The sequence below is a fragment of the Homo sapiens genome, chromosome 9, assembly GCF_000001405.40.
Source record: "Homo sapiens chromosome 9, GRCh38.p14 Primary Assembly".
Classification (NCBI taxonomy): domain Eukaryota; kingdom Metazoa; phylum Chordata; class Mammalia; order Primates; family Hominidae; genus Homo; species Homo sapiens.
The window spans coordinates 128,322,804-128,339,077 of NC_000009.12; the positions used below are offsets into that span (position 1 = coordinate 128,322,804).

Below are 16,274 nucleotides of genomic sequence, written 5' to 3' on the forward strand. Positions count from 1 at the left end.
TGACAGAATCGCGGCGTTCTTCGTACCCGCCCATCCTCCGCGGACGCCCGCTGCCATGGCGACTCTGCTGCGCCCTGTCCTCCGTCGGCTCTGCGGGCTCCCGGGCCTACAGCGGCCTGCGGCAGGCAAGTGGCGCCGGGTTCTGGGCGCAGGCGGGAAGGAGCCTGAGGGCGCCCGGCTCCTCTGACCTCGGCCTTTTTCTTGCCCCGCAGAAATGCCCCTCCGGGCTAGGAGCGACGGCGCCGGCCCGCTATACTCGCACCACCTCCCCACCTCCCCGCTGCAGAAAGGGCTGTTGGCCGCCGGCTCCGCGGCGATGGCGCTCTATAACCCCTACCGCCACGGTAAGGCCGCCCGCGCCTCGCCCCCGTGGGGGCGGCTTGGAGCCGTTTCCTGTGGGTAACTGGAACATAGCCTAGGTCGGGGTACCCAAACCTGGTTGCAGCTCGTAACCACTCGGAACGTTTATGAAAATGCAGATTCCTGGATCCCACCTAAACGCACTGAATCTGAATCTGAATCTGCAGTGGAGGGAGAAATGGGCGTGAAACCGAAAGTCTGTCTTTAAACTACTTGGGAGAATCTGTCATGCAGCCATATTGAGAACATCTAGACTAAATAGATGATTCATAAGTACCGATCAGTTTATAATATCCTACTAGAAAGTCAACTCCGAGGTCGAGGACCATGTCTGCCTCGTTCCACTGCATCTGCAGCCTTCTGGATAGTGCCTGGCACATAGTAAATGCTCAATAAATGTTTGCTGGATGTGTGACTAGAACATTCTAGGGTTCTACAGTGTTTTTCTTATGCCTCCTAGATTTTTGAGTTCTGGGAAGTACTGTTATTCCTACTAACAAAAACAGGCTAGGCGCTATTATAGTGGCTCACGCCTATAATCCCTATCGGGGGGCCGAAGCGGGCAGATGGCTTGAGCTGAGGAGTTTGAAACCAGCCTGGGCAACACGGTGAATCCCCATCTCTACAAAAAAAAATACAAGAATTAATTGGGGCTGGTTGCATGCGGCTGTATTCCCAGGCTGAGGTGGAAGGACCATTTGAGCCGGGGAGTTCGAGACTGCAGTAAGTTGTGATTGCGCCATTGCACTCCAGCCTGGGCGACAGAGCGAGACCCTGTCTTAAACAAAAAATACACTATATCTCCATGTCCCCAGTGGTTTTTTGTTTGTTTTGTTTTGAGACACAGTATTGCTCTGTGGCCCACGCTGGAGTGCAGTGGCGCAATCTCAGCTCTATGCAACTTCCACCTCCCAGGTTCAAGCGATTCTCGTGCCTCAGCCTCCTGAGTAGCTGGGATTACAGGCCTGTGCGGCCTGGCTAATTGTTGTATTTTTAGTAGAGACGGGATTTTGCTATGTTGCCCAGGCTGGTCTCAAACTCCTGACTTCAGGTGATCCTCCCACCTCGGCCTCCCAAAGTGTTGGGATTACAGGCATGAGCCACCACGCCCGGCCAAGACCAGCGAATTTTTTAATTTTTTTGTAGAGACGGCGTCTTGCCACGTTGCCCAGGCTGCTCTGGAACTCTTGGCCTCAAGTGATCCTCCTGCCTCAGCCCCCCAGTGTTGAGATTACAGGTGTCAGCCGCTACACTTGGCCACTAAGTGTTATATATATATGATTTTCATGGTTTCTCACATTAACCAGCTAAGAAAGGTGTTGTCTGCACTTCACAAATTAAGACACTGAGGCTGAAAAATGTGAAGCAGGCCAGGCATGGTGGCTCACACCTGTAATCCCAGCAATTTGGGAATCCAAGGTGGGAGGATCACTTGGGGCCAAAGTTCAAGACCAGCCTGGGCAACATAGCAAGACCTCATCTCTACAGAAAATTTAAAAAACTAGCTGCATGCCTGTAGTCCTAGCAGTGAGCTATGATCACACCACTTCACTCCAGCCTGGGCAACAGAGCAAGACCCTGTCTCAAAAAAACAAAACAAAACAGAAATGTGAAGCAATTTGTACTAGGTCACCTAGATAGTGAACACACCTGGACTGTAGCCCAGCATCTCTGATGCCTAAGCCTCTACCAATCAATGGAGACATGATATTGTATTGTGAAAAGTGATTTATAAAATCTTTACAACGTTGTGCTAACTAGAGCTGTCCCGCCCCAGTAGATTAAGAATAAGAACTATAGATATGTATACTGATCCCTTGTTGTGTGCTGGGTAATTTGCTAAGTGTTTAGCCTGAATCCTTATAACAAAGAGCTAGACATCATCCCTAATTTATCCTGTAGGAAACAAAGGCTCAGACCAGGTCAGCTAACTTACCTAAGATGACATCCCCCATTTGTGCCCGTTTCTGTCCTTTCAGACATGGTCGCAGTTCTAGGGGAGACCACAGGACACCGCACCCTGAAGGTCCTCAGGGACCAGATGAGGAGGGATCCAGAGGGTGCCCAGATCCTGCAGTAGGTCCCAGCTCTGCCTGGGGGTCTGGGGGCATTCTCTAGGTATTCTGACCTCTCTAGAATCACATTGTGTTTGTTCTGTTCCGCTAGGGAGCTTTTGATACCCTGGCTACATATGGTTGCACAGGCTGGGCACTGCCCAATTCCAGGGGTGTCATTCACATACATGTGTATACACTGATGACTTCCGAGTTGTGCAGTGTGATAGCCTTGGCCCAGTTTCAACCACAGGGCTCTGTGCCTTCATTAAGTTCCCATAACATGTGCTGGCTTTACCCCTCCCTTGCAGTACCTTTTGCAAGTACTCTGGTCACATTCGAGGACTGTCTTCCTGCCGAGATTGTACCCCTGCCCATGTCCTTGGTTTGGGGTAGTATCCTAAGTCCCTGACACTAGCCTGGCCAGTTGTAGGTGCTCCATTAAGGCTTGTGGTGGCCACATTGCTCCTCTGTACATTCTCCCGCCCCTCAGCTCGCTGTAGTTGGATCGTTCACCTACCTTTGCCCACACCCTCCCAATGCCCAAGTCTTGCCTTTCAGGGAGCGTCCCCGGATTTCGACATCCACCCTCGACCTGGGCAAGCTCCAGAGCCTGCCGGAAGGCTCCCTCGGTCGCGAGTATCTCCGTTTCCTGGATGTGAACGTGAGTTTTCAGCTCCTGTGTATCTGGCAGTCACCAGACAGGACAGAGGAATAGCACAGGCATGACACCCTGAGGAAAGAGGAGCCCTGAGCTGCCACCATTGGCAGGAGTGCTCTTCAGGCTCATGCCAAGGCTTTGTCATTTTCTATGGGATAGGCAAATGGGTGGGAACATGCCTGCAATTGATAATACTGGCCAGTGTTCATTAACCTCGCACTGCATGCCTGATGCCAGCCTCATCCGTGATCTTGCTGAATCCCCCCACAACTCTGTCAAGTATGTTCTATTATTATCCTCTTTTAGCAGATAAGGAAACAGAGGCTCAGAGCAGTGAAGCAAACTTGCTAATTCCACATAACTGGTATTAATGGAGATAGTAATCAATCCCAGATCATGCTCTTCACTGCTGTACTGTATCCCTTTATTCCAGGGACATTGCTTTCCCTACGGTATGGCAGGTGTGGCACTCTCCAGCCCCTCCAGCCCCAGGCAGGGAGGACAAGGAGAGGGGGAAAGGGGGTGTCCCGACTATTGGCAAACTCATTCACTAACTGAGGCTCTGCTATGTGCCATCCCTTTTTTTTTTTGAGTCGCTCTGTCGCCCAGGCTAGAGTGCAGTGGTGCGATCTCTGCTCACTGCAAGCTCCGCCTCCCAGGTACACGCCATTCTCCTGCCTCAGCCTCCCGAGTAGCTGGGACTACAGGCGCCCGCCACGACGCCCGGCTAATTTTTTGTATTTTTTAGTAGAGACGGGGTTTCACCGTGCTAGCCAGGATGGTCTCGATCTCCTGACCACGTGATCCGCCCGCATCAGCCTCCCAAAGTGCTGGGATTACAGGCGTGAGCCACAGCGCCCGGCCCATCCTTTTTGTTTTGTTTTGTTTTGAGACAGGGTCCCGCTCTGCCACCCAGGCTGGAGTGCAGTGGCGCCGTCTCGGCTCACTGCAACTCAGCTTCCTGGGTTCAAGCGATTCTCCTGCCTCAACCCCCCACGTAGCTGGGACTACAGGTGCACACCACAACGCCCAGCTAATTTTTGTACTTTTAGTAGAGAGGGGTTTTACCATATTAACCAGGCTGGTCTTGAACTCCTGACCTCAAGTGATCCACCTGCCTCAGCCTCCCAAAATGCTGGGACTACAGGTGTGAGCCACCGTGCCCAGCCCAACCATTGTTTTGTGTACAGGGGATATAATGGTGAACTAGACAGCCAAGTTCCCTGCCCTCATTTCTATTCTACTTCGAGAGGTAGACAATAAAATAGTTTTTAAAAATTTTCAGGGAAGGCACAGTGGCTCACATCTGTAATCCCAGCACTTTGGGAGGCTGGCGGGAGGACCACCTAAGGTCAGGAGTTTGAGACCAGTCTGACCAACATGGTGGAAACCTGTCTCTACTAAAAATACAAAAATTAGCTAGGTGTGATGGTGTGCGCCTGTAATCCCAGCTACTCGGGAGGCTGAGGCAGGAGAATTGATTGAACCCGGGAGGCACAGGTTGCAGTGAGCTGAGATCACACCACTGCACTCCAGCCTGGGCGACAGAGTGAGACTCTGTCTCCAACAAAACAAAACAAAAAAATTCATATAAAAATACAGGTAAAATGTTTCAAGTAATTAGAATATTCTGGCACTGGTCCATGCGTGTTGGCTCATGCCTGTAATCCTAATACTTTGGGGGGCTGAAGTGGGCGGATCACTTGAGCCCAGGAGTTTGAGACCAGCCTGGACAACATGGTGAAACCCTGTCTCTGCAAAAAATGCAAAAATTAGCCAAGTGTGGTGGTGTATACCCATAGTCCCAGCTACCTGGGAGGGAGTTTGAGGTAGGAGGATCAGTTGAGCCCAGGAGGTCGAGGGCGGTGAGCCGTAATCACACCACTACACTCCAGCTTGGACAACAGAGCAAGACTCTGTCTCAAAAATAAAAAAAAGTATACCAGCACTATTGTCAGCAGTTGGGATACAGTGGACAAAACCAGCAAAAAGCCTGCCTTTGTGGAACTTACATTCTAGCAGCTATGAAGAGAACAAGTTAGTGTGATAGAAGACAGCTTTGGTATTGGGAAGGGTACAGCCACTTCTGACTGGGTGGTCAGGGCCGGCTCCTCTGAGGAGACTTGGAAGGTAAGGAGGAGCCAACCCTGTGGAGAGCTGAGGAGGAGCATTCTGAGTAGAGGGAATGGCAAGGGCAAAGGCCCCTTGTGTTTAGGAAAAGGAAGGTTGACCAGTGTGGCCGCAGAGGAGGGAGTAGCAGGGAGACAGTGAGTGGGCTGGAAGGGGAGCCAGGGCTGCGCCCTGTAGGCCACCAGAAGGAGGAGTCTGTATTTTGTAATAGGAGCAGTAGGAAACTTGTGGAAGGTTTTGAGCAGGACAGTAAAGTGACCTGATTTGTAAAGGACCTTAGGATCCAGTTGGCCCATCTTCCCTGTCCCTGTCCCATCTTCCCTCCCTCCTGCAACACAGATACATCCCATCAAGGCACCCCTGCCAAATGGCGAGCCAGTCTGGCTGATGGAGGTGAGGGGTCTCCAAAGGTTGCCCTAGAACAGTTTCTCAAGCCGGGCATGTTAATGTTTAGGCTGGATCACTCTTTGTTGTGGGGGCGGTCCTGAGCCTGGTAGGATGTTTAGTGGCATCCCTGGCTTCTACCCACTGGATGCCAGGAGCACCCCCCCGTCAAGTTGTGACAACCACAGATGTCTCCAGAGATTACAGATGTTCCCTGGTGGGCAGTTGAGAACCACTGCTCTGAATGGTTATTGTCCCCGAGACGATGTTCTGTTCCTCACAGTCTCCTGCACAGCTACCTTGACGGGGCGATCACCTGCACTATTTTAAACCATCTCTCTCAGATTTCACCAGGATGCAAGTCATTTCATCAGTGGGAAACTCACCAGGGTGACCTGCCTCAAGTGCTACACAGGGAGGGACAGTCTGAATTTCCCCCAGTCTTTAGCCCTGTCGCTGTGGAGGGGAGGGGGTAGCAGGGACAGGACTGCTAGGACACCTTGCTCAGCCACAGCCCCACTTGTAACCGCGCTGGCGATTGTGACACTTGTAGAGCAAGGAAATCAGCAGCTCATGGAATGTGAAGGAGCACCTTTGTCCCCAGAGAGATTTAGATAAAGGTTCAAGGTGAGGCTACCCTCCCCTCCCTGAGGCTGATTTTGGTGAGAGGTGTGGTCATCTTGTAGTATCAAGACTACAGGCATGGGCTTGAGAATTAGGAGGAGCCTGAGTGAGAATCCTGGCTCTCTTCCCAGCTTTACAAGCCTGGACAAATCCTTTGACCTCGCTGAGTCTCAGGTTCCTCATCAGAAGTAAGAGGACCTCCCATATATCTTCCAGGGCACTTATCGGCCTTGGTAATGGATATTAAGGCCACTGGCTTTGGAATCCAGCAGACTTTGTTTCAAATGCTGACTCGGCCACTTTACTAGCTGTGTGATCTTGGGCAAATTACTTTATCTCTCTGAGCCTTGTTTTCCTTATTTTTATTTATTTATTTATTTTTTTGAGTCTCGCTCTGTCACCCAGGCTGGAGGGCAGTGGCACAATCTTGGCTCACTGCAACCTCCACCTCCTGGCAATTCTCCTGCCTCAGCCTCCTGAGTAGCTGGGACTACAGGCGCACGCCACCAGGCCTGGCTATTTTTTGTATTTTTAGTATAGGCGGGATTTCATCATATTGGCCAGGCTGGTCTCAAACTCCTGACCTCAAGTGATCCGCTGGCCTTGGCCTCCCAAAGTGTTGGGATTACAGGCATGAGCCACCACGCCCGGCCCTTGTTTTCCTTATCTATATCTGCAGTAATAACAGTATTTACCTCCAAGATTGCAAGGATGAAAGGATAATATATGTAAAAGACACCCTAGGTGCCGGCACCTGGTGGATACTCTATGATCACCTTCAGCTTCACACAGCAGGCTAAGGCCATTCTTTGGGAACAGGAAGACCAGGCTGTTCCCACTGTGTATGGGTGCTGCTGAGTACTCAGAGGCAGTGGGCAGTTAAGAGGAGAAGAGTTCTGGGATCAGAAAAGTGCCCAGGACTGGCCTTTTATTCATATGTTCAAGAGGTGTTCATTCATCCAGGCCCTGGATCAGGCTACTGGAGGTAAAAGAATAAGTGAAACAGAGCCAGTCCTGCCCTTGTGTAGCAGACAGGCTGTCTGGATACTGTCCATAAAAATAAAATGTGATCGGCTGGGCACGGTGGCTCACAACTGTAATCCCAGCTCTCTGGGAGGCCCAGGCGGGTGGATCACGAAGTCAGGAGTTTGAGACCAGCCTGACCAACATGGTGAAACCCTGTCTCTACTAAAAAAAAAAAAAAAAATTAGCCGGGTGTAGTGGCACGTGCCTGTAATCCTAGCTACTCAGGAAGCTGAGGCAGAAGAATTGCTTGAATCCGGGAGGAGGAGATTGCAGTAAGCCGAGATTGCACCACGGCACTCCAACCTGGGCGACAGAGTGAGACTCCATCTCAAAAAATAAAAATAAAAATAAATAAATAAAATGTGAGCACGTAGGTAATTTTTAATTTTCTGCCAGCTACTTTAATAGCAAAAAGAAATTAATTTTTTTGCTATTAAAATTAAGGTGGAATTTTTTTGTTTGTTTTTTTGAGATAGAGTCTCACTCTGTTGCCCAGGCTGGAGTGCAATGGTGCCATCTCAGCTCACTGCAACCTCTGCCTTCTGGGATCAAGCAATTCTCTTGTCTCAGCCTCCCAAGTAGCTGGGATTACAGGCACCCGCCACCATGCCTGGCTAATTTTTGACCATATTGGTCAGGCTGGCCTTGAGCTCCTCAGGTGATCCGCCCGCCTCGGCCTCCCAAAGTGCTGGGATTGTAACCATGAGTCACCGTGCCTGGCTAGAATTGATTTTAAATATGCATCTTGTTTAGCCCAATATATCCAAAGTATTATTTCAACAAGTAATCAATTTTCTTTTTTTTTTTTTTTTTGAGACGAAGTCTCACTCTGTAGCCCAGGCTGGAGTGCAGTGGCGCGATCTCGGCTCGCTGCAAGCTCCGCCTCCCGGGCTTACGCCATTCTCCTGCCTCAGCCTCCCGAGTAGCTGGGACTACAGGCGCCCGCCGCCACGCCCGGAGAATTTTTTGTATTTTTAGTAGAGACGGAGTTTCACCGTGTTAGCCAGGATGGTCTTGATCTCCTGACCTCATGATCCACCTGCCTCAGCCTCCCAAAGTGCTAGGATTACAGGCGTGAGCCACCGCGCCCGGCCAGTATTTTTAAATCATTGAGAGTTTTACATTTTTTTCATACTAAGCATTTGAAGTCTCGTGTGTATTTTATATGATCAGCACATCTCGCTTGGACAACTTTCTTGGCCACATGTGGCAAGCGGCTGCCATACTGGACAGTGTAGGTCTAGGAGACATTAATACTCACATCCACTAAACATCAAGGTACAGTTATTTTGAGTGCCACTAAGAGGTGAATGATGTTTCCAGAGACCATAACATGAACCCACTTGGTCTGTAGGTTAGGGGTGGCCTCTCTGTGGTGGGGGGAAGGGATGGGGGACAGGGGACACTTAACCCAGGTCATGAAGGATAAGTAGGAGTTACCACAGTGAAGATGGAGGTAGTGGGAGAGAACACCCCAAGCTGGGAGCAAGTTATGCTAGGATCAGGGTCTTTGGGGCTTCATTATTTATTTTTAGAGACAATGTCTTGCTTGAGTGCAGTGGTATAGTCATAGCTCCCTGTAACCTCAAACTCCTGGGCTCAAGCATCCTCCTGTCCCAAGCCTCCTGAGTAGCTGGGACTATAGGCACACACCACCACACCTGACTAATTTTTGTATTTTTTTTGTTCTGGGTTTTTTTTTTCTTTGAGACAGAGTCTCTGTCACCCAGGCAGGAGTGCAGTGGTGCAATCTTGGCTCACTGCAACCTCCGCCTCCTGGGTTCAAGTGATTCTCCTGTCTCAGCCTCCCGAGTAGCTGGGACTACAGGTGTGCACCACCACACCCGGCTAATTTTTGTATTTTTTAGTAGAGACAGGGTTTCACCGTATTGGTCAGGCTGGTGTTGAACTCCTGATCTCAGGTGATCCGCCCACCTTAGCCTCCCAAAGTGCTGGGATTTACAGGCATGAGCCTCGGCCCCTGGCCAGTCGCCAGAGTTTTCTAGTAGGTATGAGTTAGGTGAGAGTTGTGACGGTGTCAGAGACAGACTGGCAAATCGGGCCCTGGGAACCATCAGGAAGGGTTCTAGGGGAGGCTCATGGTTGTCAGAGGGTCTCCCCAGACACCCGAGCACCCACCCGCTTCGTGGATGATGAGGAGCTAGCGTATGTGATTCAGCGGTACCGGGAGGTGCACGACATGCTTCACACCCTGCTGGGGATGCCCACCAACATCCTGGGTGAGTGCCCCCAACCCTGATGGCCTGTCTCCCTGGGGTGGCTTCAGGGCCAGGGCAGGGCTTGCCTATCTCCACCACCCTCTGCATCACCTGGCTTGGTGCCTCAATTTCTGCTTTACCTGAACATCTTAGTAGCATCTTTGCCACATGTCCCCCTTCTTTCTCCCACTGCCCCTCAGGGCTCCTGCACTAATGGAGCAGCAGAGCCCATCTTCAAGGCTCCTGGTGTCTTTTTAGGCTTTAGCTGCCTCCCTGCTCTGAAACCTCAGTAGCTCCCTAAGGCCTGCAGGAACCATCCTGGAGTGTTTAGCCTGGCTTATGGGGTCATGGGGTCCTCTGCGCCCTGACCCCAGGCTTCCTTTCCATCCCCTACTCCCTTCTGTTCACTCTTGGGCTCTCTCCTGTACTCCAAGCCAAGTGCCCCAGGGCCCAGCACAGGCCAGGACTGGGCACAGCTGACCCCGTAGAGATTAGGGAGGAACAGTGCCTCTCTTTACCCTGCTGTGAGCACCACTGGCCTTTCCTTCAGATAGCTTGTTCACCTCCCAACACATCCCTCACCCACAGGGGAGATCGTGGTGAAATGGTTTGAGGCTGTCCAGACTGGCCTGCCCATGTGCATCCTGGGTGCATTCTTTGGACCGATCCGACTTGGCGCTCAGTAAGTTTTCAAGTGGTAGCTGGGTCGGGGTTGAGGGTGGTATCAGGACAGAACTCAGAGGGACCAGGGCTCTTAGAAGTAGGAAGAGCACACGGGCCCCTGCACAGCCCGTTCCAGTTCTCCAGGAAGTAAGGGTAGAAAGAATGGAGCAGAGATGTGAAACTGGCCTGGGGCAAGGGTCTTCAAGTGAGCAAATAAAGCCTGTACATTTCACAGGACTCTGGGGTCTCTTGGGCCAGGCCTAAGTGCATGGTCAGAATGATGAGCGTCAGTGGGAAGGCAGGTTGGTGTTAGATTCTGGAGTGAGGGAGCCATGATTTAAATCTGAGCTTCGACATGTTCAAGATGTGTGGCTTTGGGCTTGAGATTCCACCTCACTGAGCTCTGTTGCCTCATCTAAAAAGCAGGGATAATAACTACCTCCTTCCGAGGCCTTTGTGAGGATGAACTGAGAAAATGCACAAGTGCCGAGCAGTCGAGTGCCTGGCCCCAGGGACTTGATGTTTTCTTTTTCCTCTGCTGCCCCACAGGAGCCTGCAAGTGCTGGTCTCGGAGTTGATCCCATGGGCCGTTCAGAACGGGCGCAGAGCCCCATGTGTCCTCAACCTGTACTATGAGCGGCGCTGGGAGCAGTCCCTGAGGGCTCTGCGGGAGGAGCTGGGCATTACAGCACCACCCATGCACGTCCAGGGCTTGGCCTGAGCTCCTGAGCCAGCGGGGCCTGGCCTACCTCCCCCATCCCCTGCTTCCCTTGGAGGCAGAGGGCTCCCTTGACTACCTTTGTTCCTCTTCTTTGAACACTGACCCTTGGACAACATTTATCATAATTTGTCATAACCACTGCTGAGTGGCCTTGAGGACGAACCCCGCAGGGAGCAAGCAGTACAGTGGCATTCCCAGGGGGACCAGCAGCTACCCAAGGAGAACCATGCATGAACAGTATCAGTCGTCTGGGCTCATGCTGGGATGTCGCAGTGCTCCTGTTGCAACTCCTCCCAGCCAGCCAGGTTTGCTGGGGGCCAGGCTGGGTGTCCTCACAGGAGTGAGGGCTACACCCAATTCCAAAAGCCTGAGAAGAGAGAAGTGGAGGGGGAGGCGAGTGTGTGAATAAAGGCTCCCATCAGGTCAAGTGTCTGCTTGTCCTCCTTTCCCCCAGGGATGCCCCTGACTTTGGCACTCTTGCGCCTTCCAAGCACCCTAGTGCTTGGAAGTAGAAGTTTCCCTCCCAGCCTGGGCTCTAGCTGCTTGTCCCCTCTCCTCTGGCCGAAGTTGGGTGGACATGGATTCAAATTCCCAGCTCCTCCCTGTTTTTTTTTGTTTTGTTTTTTTGTTTTTTGTTTTTGTTTTGAGATGGAGTCTCGCTCTGTCGCCAGGCTGGAGTGCAATGGCGAGATCTCGGCTCATTGCAACCTCCACCTCCCAGGTTCAAATGATTCTCCTGCTTCAGCCTCCTGAATAGCTGGGACTTCAAGTGCGTGCCACCACACTCAGCTAATTTTTGTATTTTTAGAGACGGGTTTTCACCATGTTGGCCAGGATGGTCTCGATCTCTTGACCTCGTGGTCCGCCCATCTCGGCCTCCCAAAGTGCTGGGATTATAGGCATGAGCCACCGCGCCCAGCCAACTCCTCCCTGTTTTCCAGCAGAGGACTTAGGGCAAGTCCCTTCCCCTCTCTGAGTCCCCATTTCATCATCAGGAAAAGTGGAATCCTAAGGCACTCATCCCCTAGGACTATTGTGGGGGTTTCTGAGGGGACATTCAGAAGGCGGACTTCAGAAAAAGGGCCCAAGGAGCAGGAGGTGGGGTTTTTTATTGTTGTTGTTTGAGACAAGCTCTTGCCCCGTCATGTAGGCTGGAGTGCATGGCATAATCTTGGCTCACTGCACCCTCAACTTCCTGGGCCCAAGCAGTCTTCATCTCAACCTCCCCAGTAGCTGAGGCCACAGGTACACACCACCATGCCCAACTAATTTTTTTTAATTTATATTTATTTATTTTTGAGACAGGGTCTCACTCTTTTTGCCCAGGCTGGAGTGCAGTGGCACGATCTCGGCTCACTGCAACCTCTGCGTCCCAAGTTCAAGCAAGTCTCCCATCTCAGCCTCCCCAGGAGCTGGGACTACAGGCGCATGCCATCATGCCCAGCTAATTTTTGTATTTTTTGGTAGAGATGGAGTTTCACCATGTTGGCCAGGCTGGTCTTGAACACCTGACCTCAGGCGATCCAGCCACCTCGGCCTCCCGAAGTGCTGGGATTACAGGCGTGAGCCACCACGACTGGCCGCCCAACTAATTTTAATTTTTTGTAGAGATGAGGTCTCTATGTTGCACAGGCTGCTTGAACTCCTGGGCTCAAGTGATCCTCCCACCCTTGGCCTTCCAAATAATCCAGATGTGAACCACTGTTTCCAACCAATCAGGAGCTGTTTTATTCTTACTGTGTTCATAAGCACAAAAAGCTGCAGTTCATTTTGGAGTGGCAAAAAGGCATTTTCCTTGGGTAAGAGCCAAGGAACAAGGACCGGCTGGATGAAAGGTATTAGAAGAGTGGGTGGCCCTGGCTTGGGTTTAGAACCAGAAAAGCCCCAAGATGGAAGAGGCTTTAGCATTTTTCAGGCCAATTCCTCATTGCGTGAATAGATGATTGATGGCCCAGAGGCAGGCAGAGAATTGCCTGGAGTAACTAAAACACAGGCCACAGGCCCCCTGGTATGTTTACCAGTGCCTCAGTTTCCCTATCTATAATCAGTTTCTAACTGTACTATATGTCAGGCAGTACTAAGCACTTGAGATGCATTATCGCACTGACACCTCAAGGTCACCACCCAAGGAGGGAGATGGTATTTTGCTTGTGTTTTACTAACGAGGCAGTAGGAATAGAGCTGGGGTTGGAACCACGGGTTGTCTGAAGACCTGCTCAGCACTGCCATACCAGGGCCCCAGCCTTCCCTGTGCGCACCACGTCTGGTTCAGGGATCCCAATAGCAGAGGAAGGGCAGGGGAGGCTGGAGGCCCACCTCAGAACCATGGACTTTTCAGGAGGGAAACCTTGTTCTGAGCTCCTTGAATCTGCGGGAAAAGGAGGCCATGCTAGTGAGTCCCCATACCTCACCAGTCTCTGCAGACCTGCCAGCTGTTTCTGCAGCTTCCCAGGGTCCCAGGCACCCCCACTGCAGCTCACTAAAGTCAACAGTGCCAGGGTGGCAGCGGAGGTCAGACAGATGGCCTTCACTGCCCAGCTGAGCAGCTCACCTGCTCTAGGCAGGCAGTGCCTGGACAACCCTGGGCCTTTGTAGCACTTGTGAGATGGACACAAAGCATCAGGCTTAGCTGGGAATGGAGTCTGGTCTCCTGAGTATAGGGTGGCATTTGTGTTACCAGCTCATGATTGGAGAAAAATCAAACTGGCTATAGGTAATCACTGGTGAGGCCCTACCAACTTCTGCCTAGAAACGTCTATTCTCCCATCTCAGTAAACCATGCTTGCCTTCATCCTGCTCCCTGAACACACCAGGCTTCTTCCTGCCTTTGGGAACAGCACCGTGTCCCCAGGTTGTTACATGGTGAGCTCCTTGTCATTCACATCTCTGCTCAAATGTCACAGCAGAGATGTCTTCCTGGGCTTCCTGCCATCTAAAGCAGTCCCTAGTCCCCCTCTGCCTCTCTCCATGCTATCATCTTCTGTTTATTATTATTTATTTTTTGAGATGGGGTCTCATTCTGTCACCCAGGCTGGAGTGCAGTGCCACTATGACGGCTCACTACAGCCTCGACCTCCTGGGCTCCAGGATCCTCTTGTTTTAGCTTCCCTAGTAGCTGGGCCTATGGATGCATGCCACCACGCCTAGCTAAGTTTTTTTTGTTTGTTTTGTTTTTTTTTGTTTTTTTGTTTTGAGATGGAGTCTCGCTCTGTCACCCAGGCTGGAGTGCAATGGCGTGATCTCAGCTTACTGCAACCTCCCTTTCCCAGGGTCAAGCAATTCTCCTGCCTCAGCCTCCCAAGTAGGTGGGATTACAGGGGTGCACCACCATGTCCAGCTAATTTTTATTTTTAGTAGAGACGGGGTTTCACCATGTTGACCAGGCTGGTCTCGAAATCCTGACCTCAGGTGATCTGCCCACTTTGGCATCCCAAAGTGCTAGGATTACATGCCTGAGCCACCGTGCCCAGTCAAGTGGTTTCTTTTTTTTTTTTTTTTTTTTGGCGGGGGGAGTGGATGGAGTCTCACTCTGTCGCCCAGGCTGGAGTGCAATGGCGTGATCTCGGCTCACTGCAACCTCCCACCTACTGGGTTCAGGCGATTCTCCTGCCTCAGCCTCCCGAGTAGCTGGGATTACAGGTGCCTGCCACCACGCCCGGCTGATTTTTTTTTTAATTGTTAGTAGAGATGTGGTTTCACCATGTTGGTCAGGCTGGTCTCAAACTCCTGATCTTGTGATCCCCCCGCCTCAGCCTCCCAAAGTGCTGGGATTACAGGTGTGGGCCACCGGGCCCGGCTTTTTTTTTTTTTTTTTCTTTTGTAGAGACAGGGTCTTGCTATGTTGGCTCGGCTGGTCTTGAACTCCTGGCCTCAAGCCATCTTCCTGCCTTGACCTCCCAAAGTGCTGGTATTCCAGATATGAGCCACTGCACTATGCCCTTATTTTCTTTAGAGCATTCACCACTCTGAAATTATTTTGTTGGTAGAGCTTGGCGGGGGGTGGCTCATGCCTGGAGTCCCAGCACTTTGGGAGGCCTGGGGGGGCAGATGACTTGAGCTCAAGAGTTCCAGACTAGCCTGAACAACATGATGAAACCTCGTCTCTACTAAAAATACAAAAAATTAGCCAGGTGTGGTGGCGCACACCTGTAGCCCTAGCTACCCAGGAGGCTGAGGTAGCAGGAGCACCTGAGCCCAGGAGGTGAAGGCTGCAGTCAGCTGTGATTGTCTGGGCAACAGGAGTGAGACCCCATCTCAAAAAAAAAAAATTAAAAAATTTTAATGACAATACTGTGATGAGCGTGACACCAGCACAGTGAGCACTGAGTGAGGGATGACCTATTCCATCTCACTTCCACCTGTCCTCTGTGCGGCCAGCTAGACTGTAAGCAACTGAAAGGCAGGCTGTCCTGTTCTGTGTTGTCTTGCTTCTCCCCCTCAGGCCTGATCCAATGTCCGGTGGTACTGCTTTGGTTTCTCCAGTGTGACGAGCCTGACTGAAGGAGAGCAGGTGGCTGGTCACCAGCATCCTCCCGCTAACTCTCACCTGCCCACTTGCATATGACCTCAGTAGTTGATGTGGAAGTACTCATGATTATACTCACGAATCCTGGTGTGCATAAGGTCAGAGCCTCCAATTCACTCTCCCTTTCATTCATTCAAGAAATGTTGTGCCAGGCGCAGTGGCTCATGCCTGTAATCCCAACACTTTGGGAGGCTGAGGCGGGTGGATCACGAGGTCAGGAGATCGAGACCATCCTGGCTGACACGGTGAAACCCTGTCTCTACTAAAAAAAATACAAAAAAATTAGCTGGGCCTGGTGGCGGGCGCCTGTAGTCCCAGCTACTCGGGAGGCTGAGGCAGGAGAATGGCGTGAACCTGGGAGGCGGAGCTTGCAGTGAGCCGAGATCGCGCCACTGCACTCCAGCCTGGGCGACAGAGCAAGACTCCGTCTCGGAAAAAAAAAAAAAATACTCCCCACAAATCTCCACGCTGACCCTGTGAGGTATTATTAATTAGTATGTCCCATTTTTTATATGTAAGAACAAAATGAATCTTGACCTTTCAGCTGAGAAGGCGAACTCAATGCTCATGCCCATACCACTGCACATTCTGCCTCCTGATGGTGATACCCATGAAGGATGTGGTGCTGGAATTTACTCAAGTCCCCAAAAGGAGGCACCCTATATTCCAGAAGAAATAGGTCCAAATCCTTATCAGACCAAAATTTCATCTTTATTTTTATTATTATTAGTTTTCTGAGACAGGCTCTCACTGCTCTGTTGCTCAGGCTGGAGTGCAGTGGCCCAATCTCGGCTCACTGCAACCTTTGCCTCCCGGGTTCAGTGATTCTCTTGCCTCAGCTCCTGAGTAGCTAGGATTACAGACGTGCACCACCACGCTCGGCTAAGTTTTGTATTTTTAATAGAGA

At 51.3% G+C, this 16,274-nt stretch overlaps 1 protein-coding gene across 6 annotated transcripts, besides 3 other annotated features; it reads left to right on the forward strand.

The window, feature by feature from the left end:
* On the forward strand, nt 36–11,269 carry COQ4 (coenzyme Q4). 6 transcript variants are annotated; one of them, NM_016035.5, is made up of 7 exons: nt 36–125; nt 213–344; nt 2,340–2,436; nt 2,976–3,078; nt 9,350–9,479; nt 10,047–10,140; nt 10,671–11,269. In NM_016035.5, exons 1-7 carry the CDS (start codon nt 56–58, stop codon nt 10,840–10,842), a joined length of 798 nt encoding a protein of 265 aa, NP_057119.3. In that variant the 5' UTR covers nt 36–55; the 3' UTR covers nt 10,843–11,269. The 6 variants fall into 6 exon arrangements, with proteins under 6 accessions (NP_057119.3, XP_047279404.1, NP_001292871.2 ...); XM_047423448.1 differs by lacking the exons at nt 9,350–9,479; nt 10,047–10,140; nt 10,671–11,269 and adding an exon at nt 3,509–5,023; NM_001305942.2 differs by lacking the exons at nt 2,340–2,436; nt 9,350–9,479; nt 10,047–10,140.
* Nucleotides 264–323: a silencer, noted in NCBI's record as "silent region_20335". NCBI's record gives its function as "represses an Ori minimal core promoter by ATAC-STARR-seq in GM12878 lymphoblastoid cells {active_cell/tissue: GM12878}" and the evidence as "EXISTENCE:reporter gene assay evidence [ECO:0000049][PMID:35858748]".
* Nucleotides 10,779–11,278: an enhancer, noted in NCBI's record as "H3K4me1 hESC enhancer chr9:131095861-131096360 (GRCh37/hg19 assembly coordinates)". NCBI's record gives its function as "activates a minimal SCP1, AML or CMV promoter by ChIP-STARR-seq in naive H9 embryonic stem cells {active_cell/tissue: H9 hESC(naive)}" and the evidence as "EXISTENCE:reporter gene assay evidence [ECO:0000049][PMID:30033119]".
* Nucleotides 14,456–14,614: a silencer, noted in NCBI's record as "fragment chr9:131099538-131099696 (GRCh37/hg19 assembly coordinates)". NCBI's record gives its function as "represses an EF-1alpha promoter that drives an FKBP-Casp9 reporter gene in an ReSE screen in HepG2 liver carcinoma cells {active_cell/tissue: HepG2}" and the evidence as "EXISTENCE:reporter gene assay evidence [ECO:0000049][PMID:32094911]".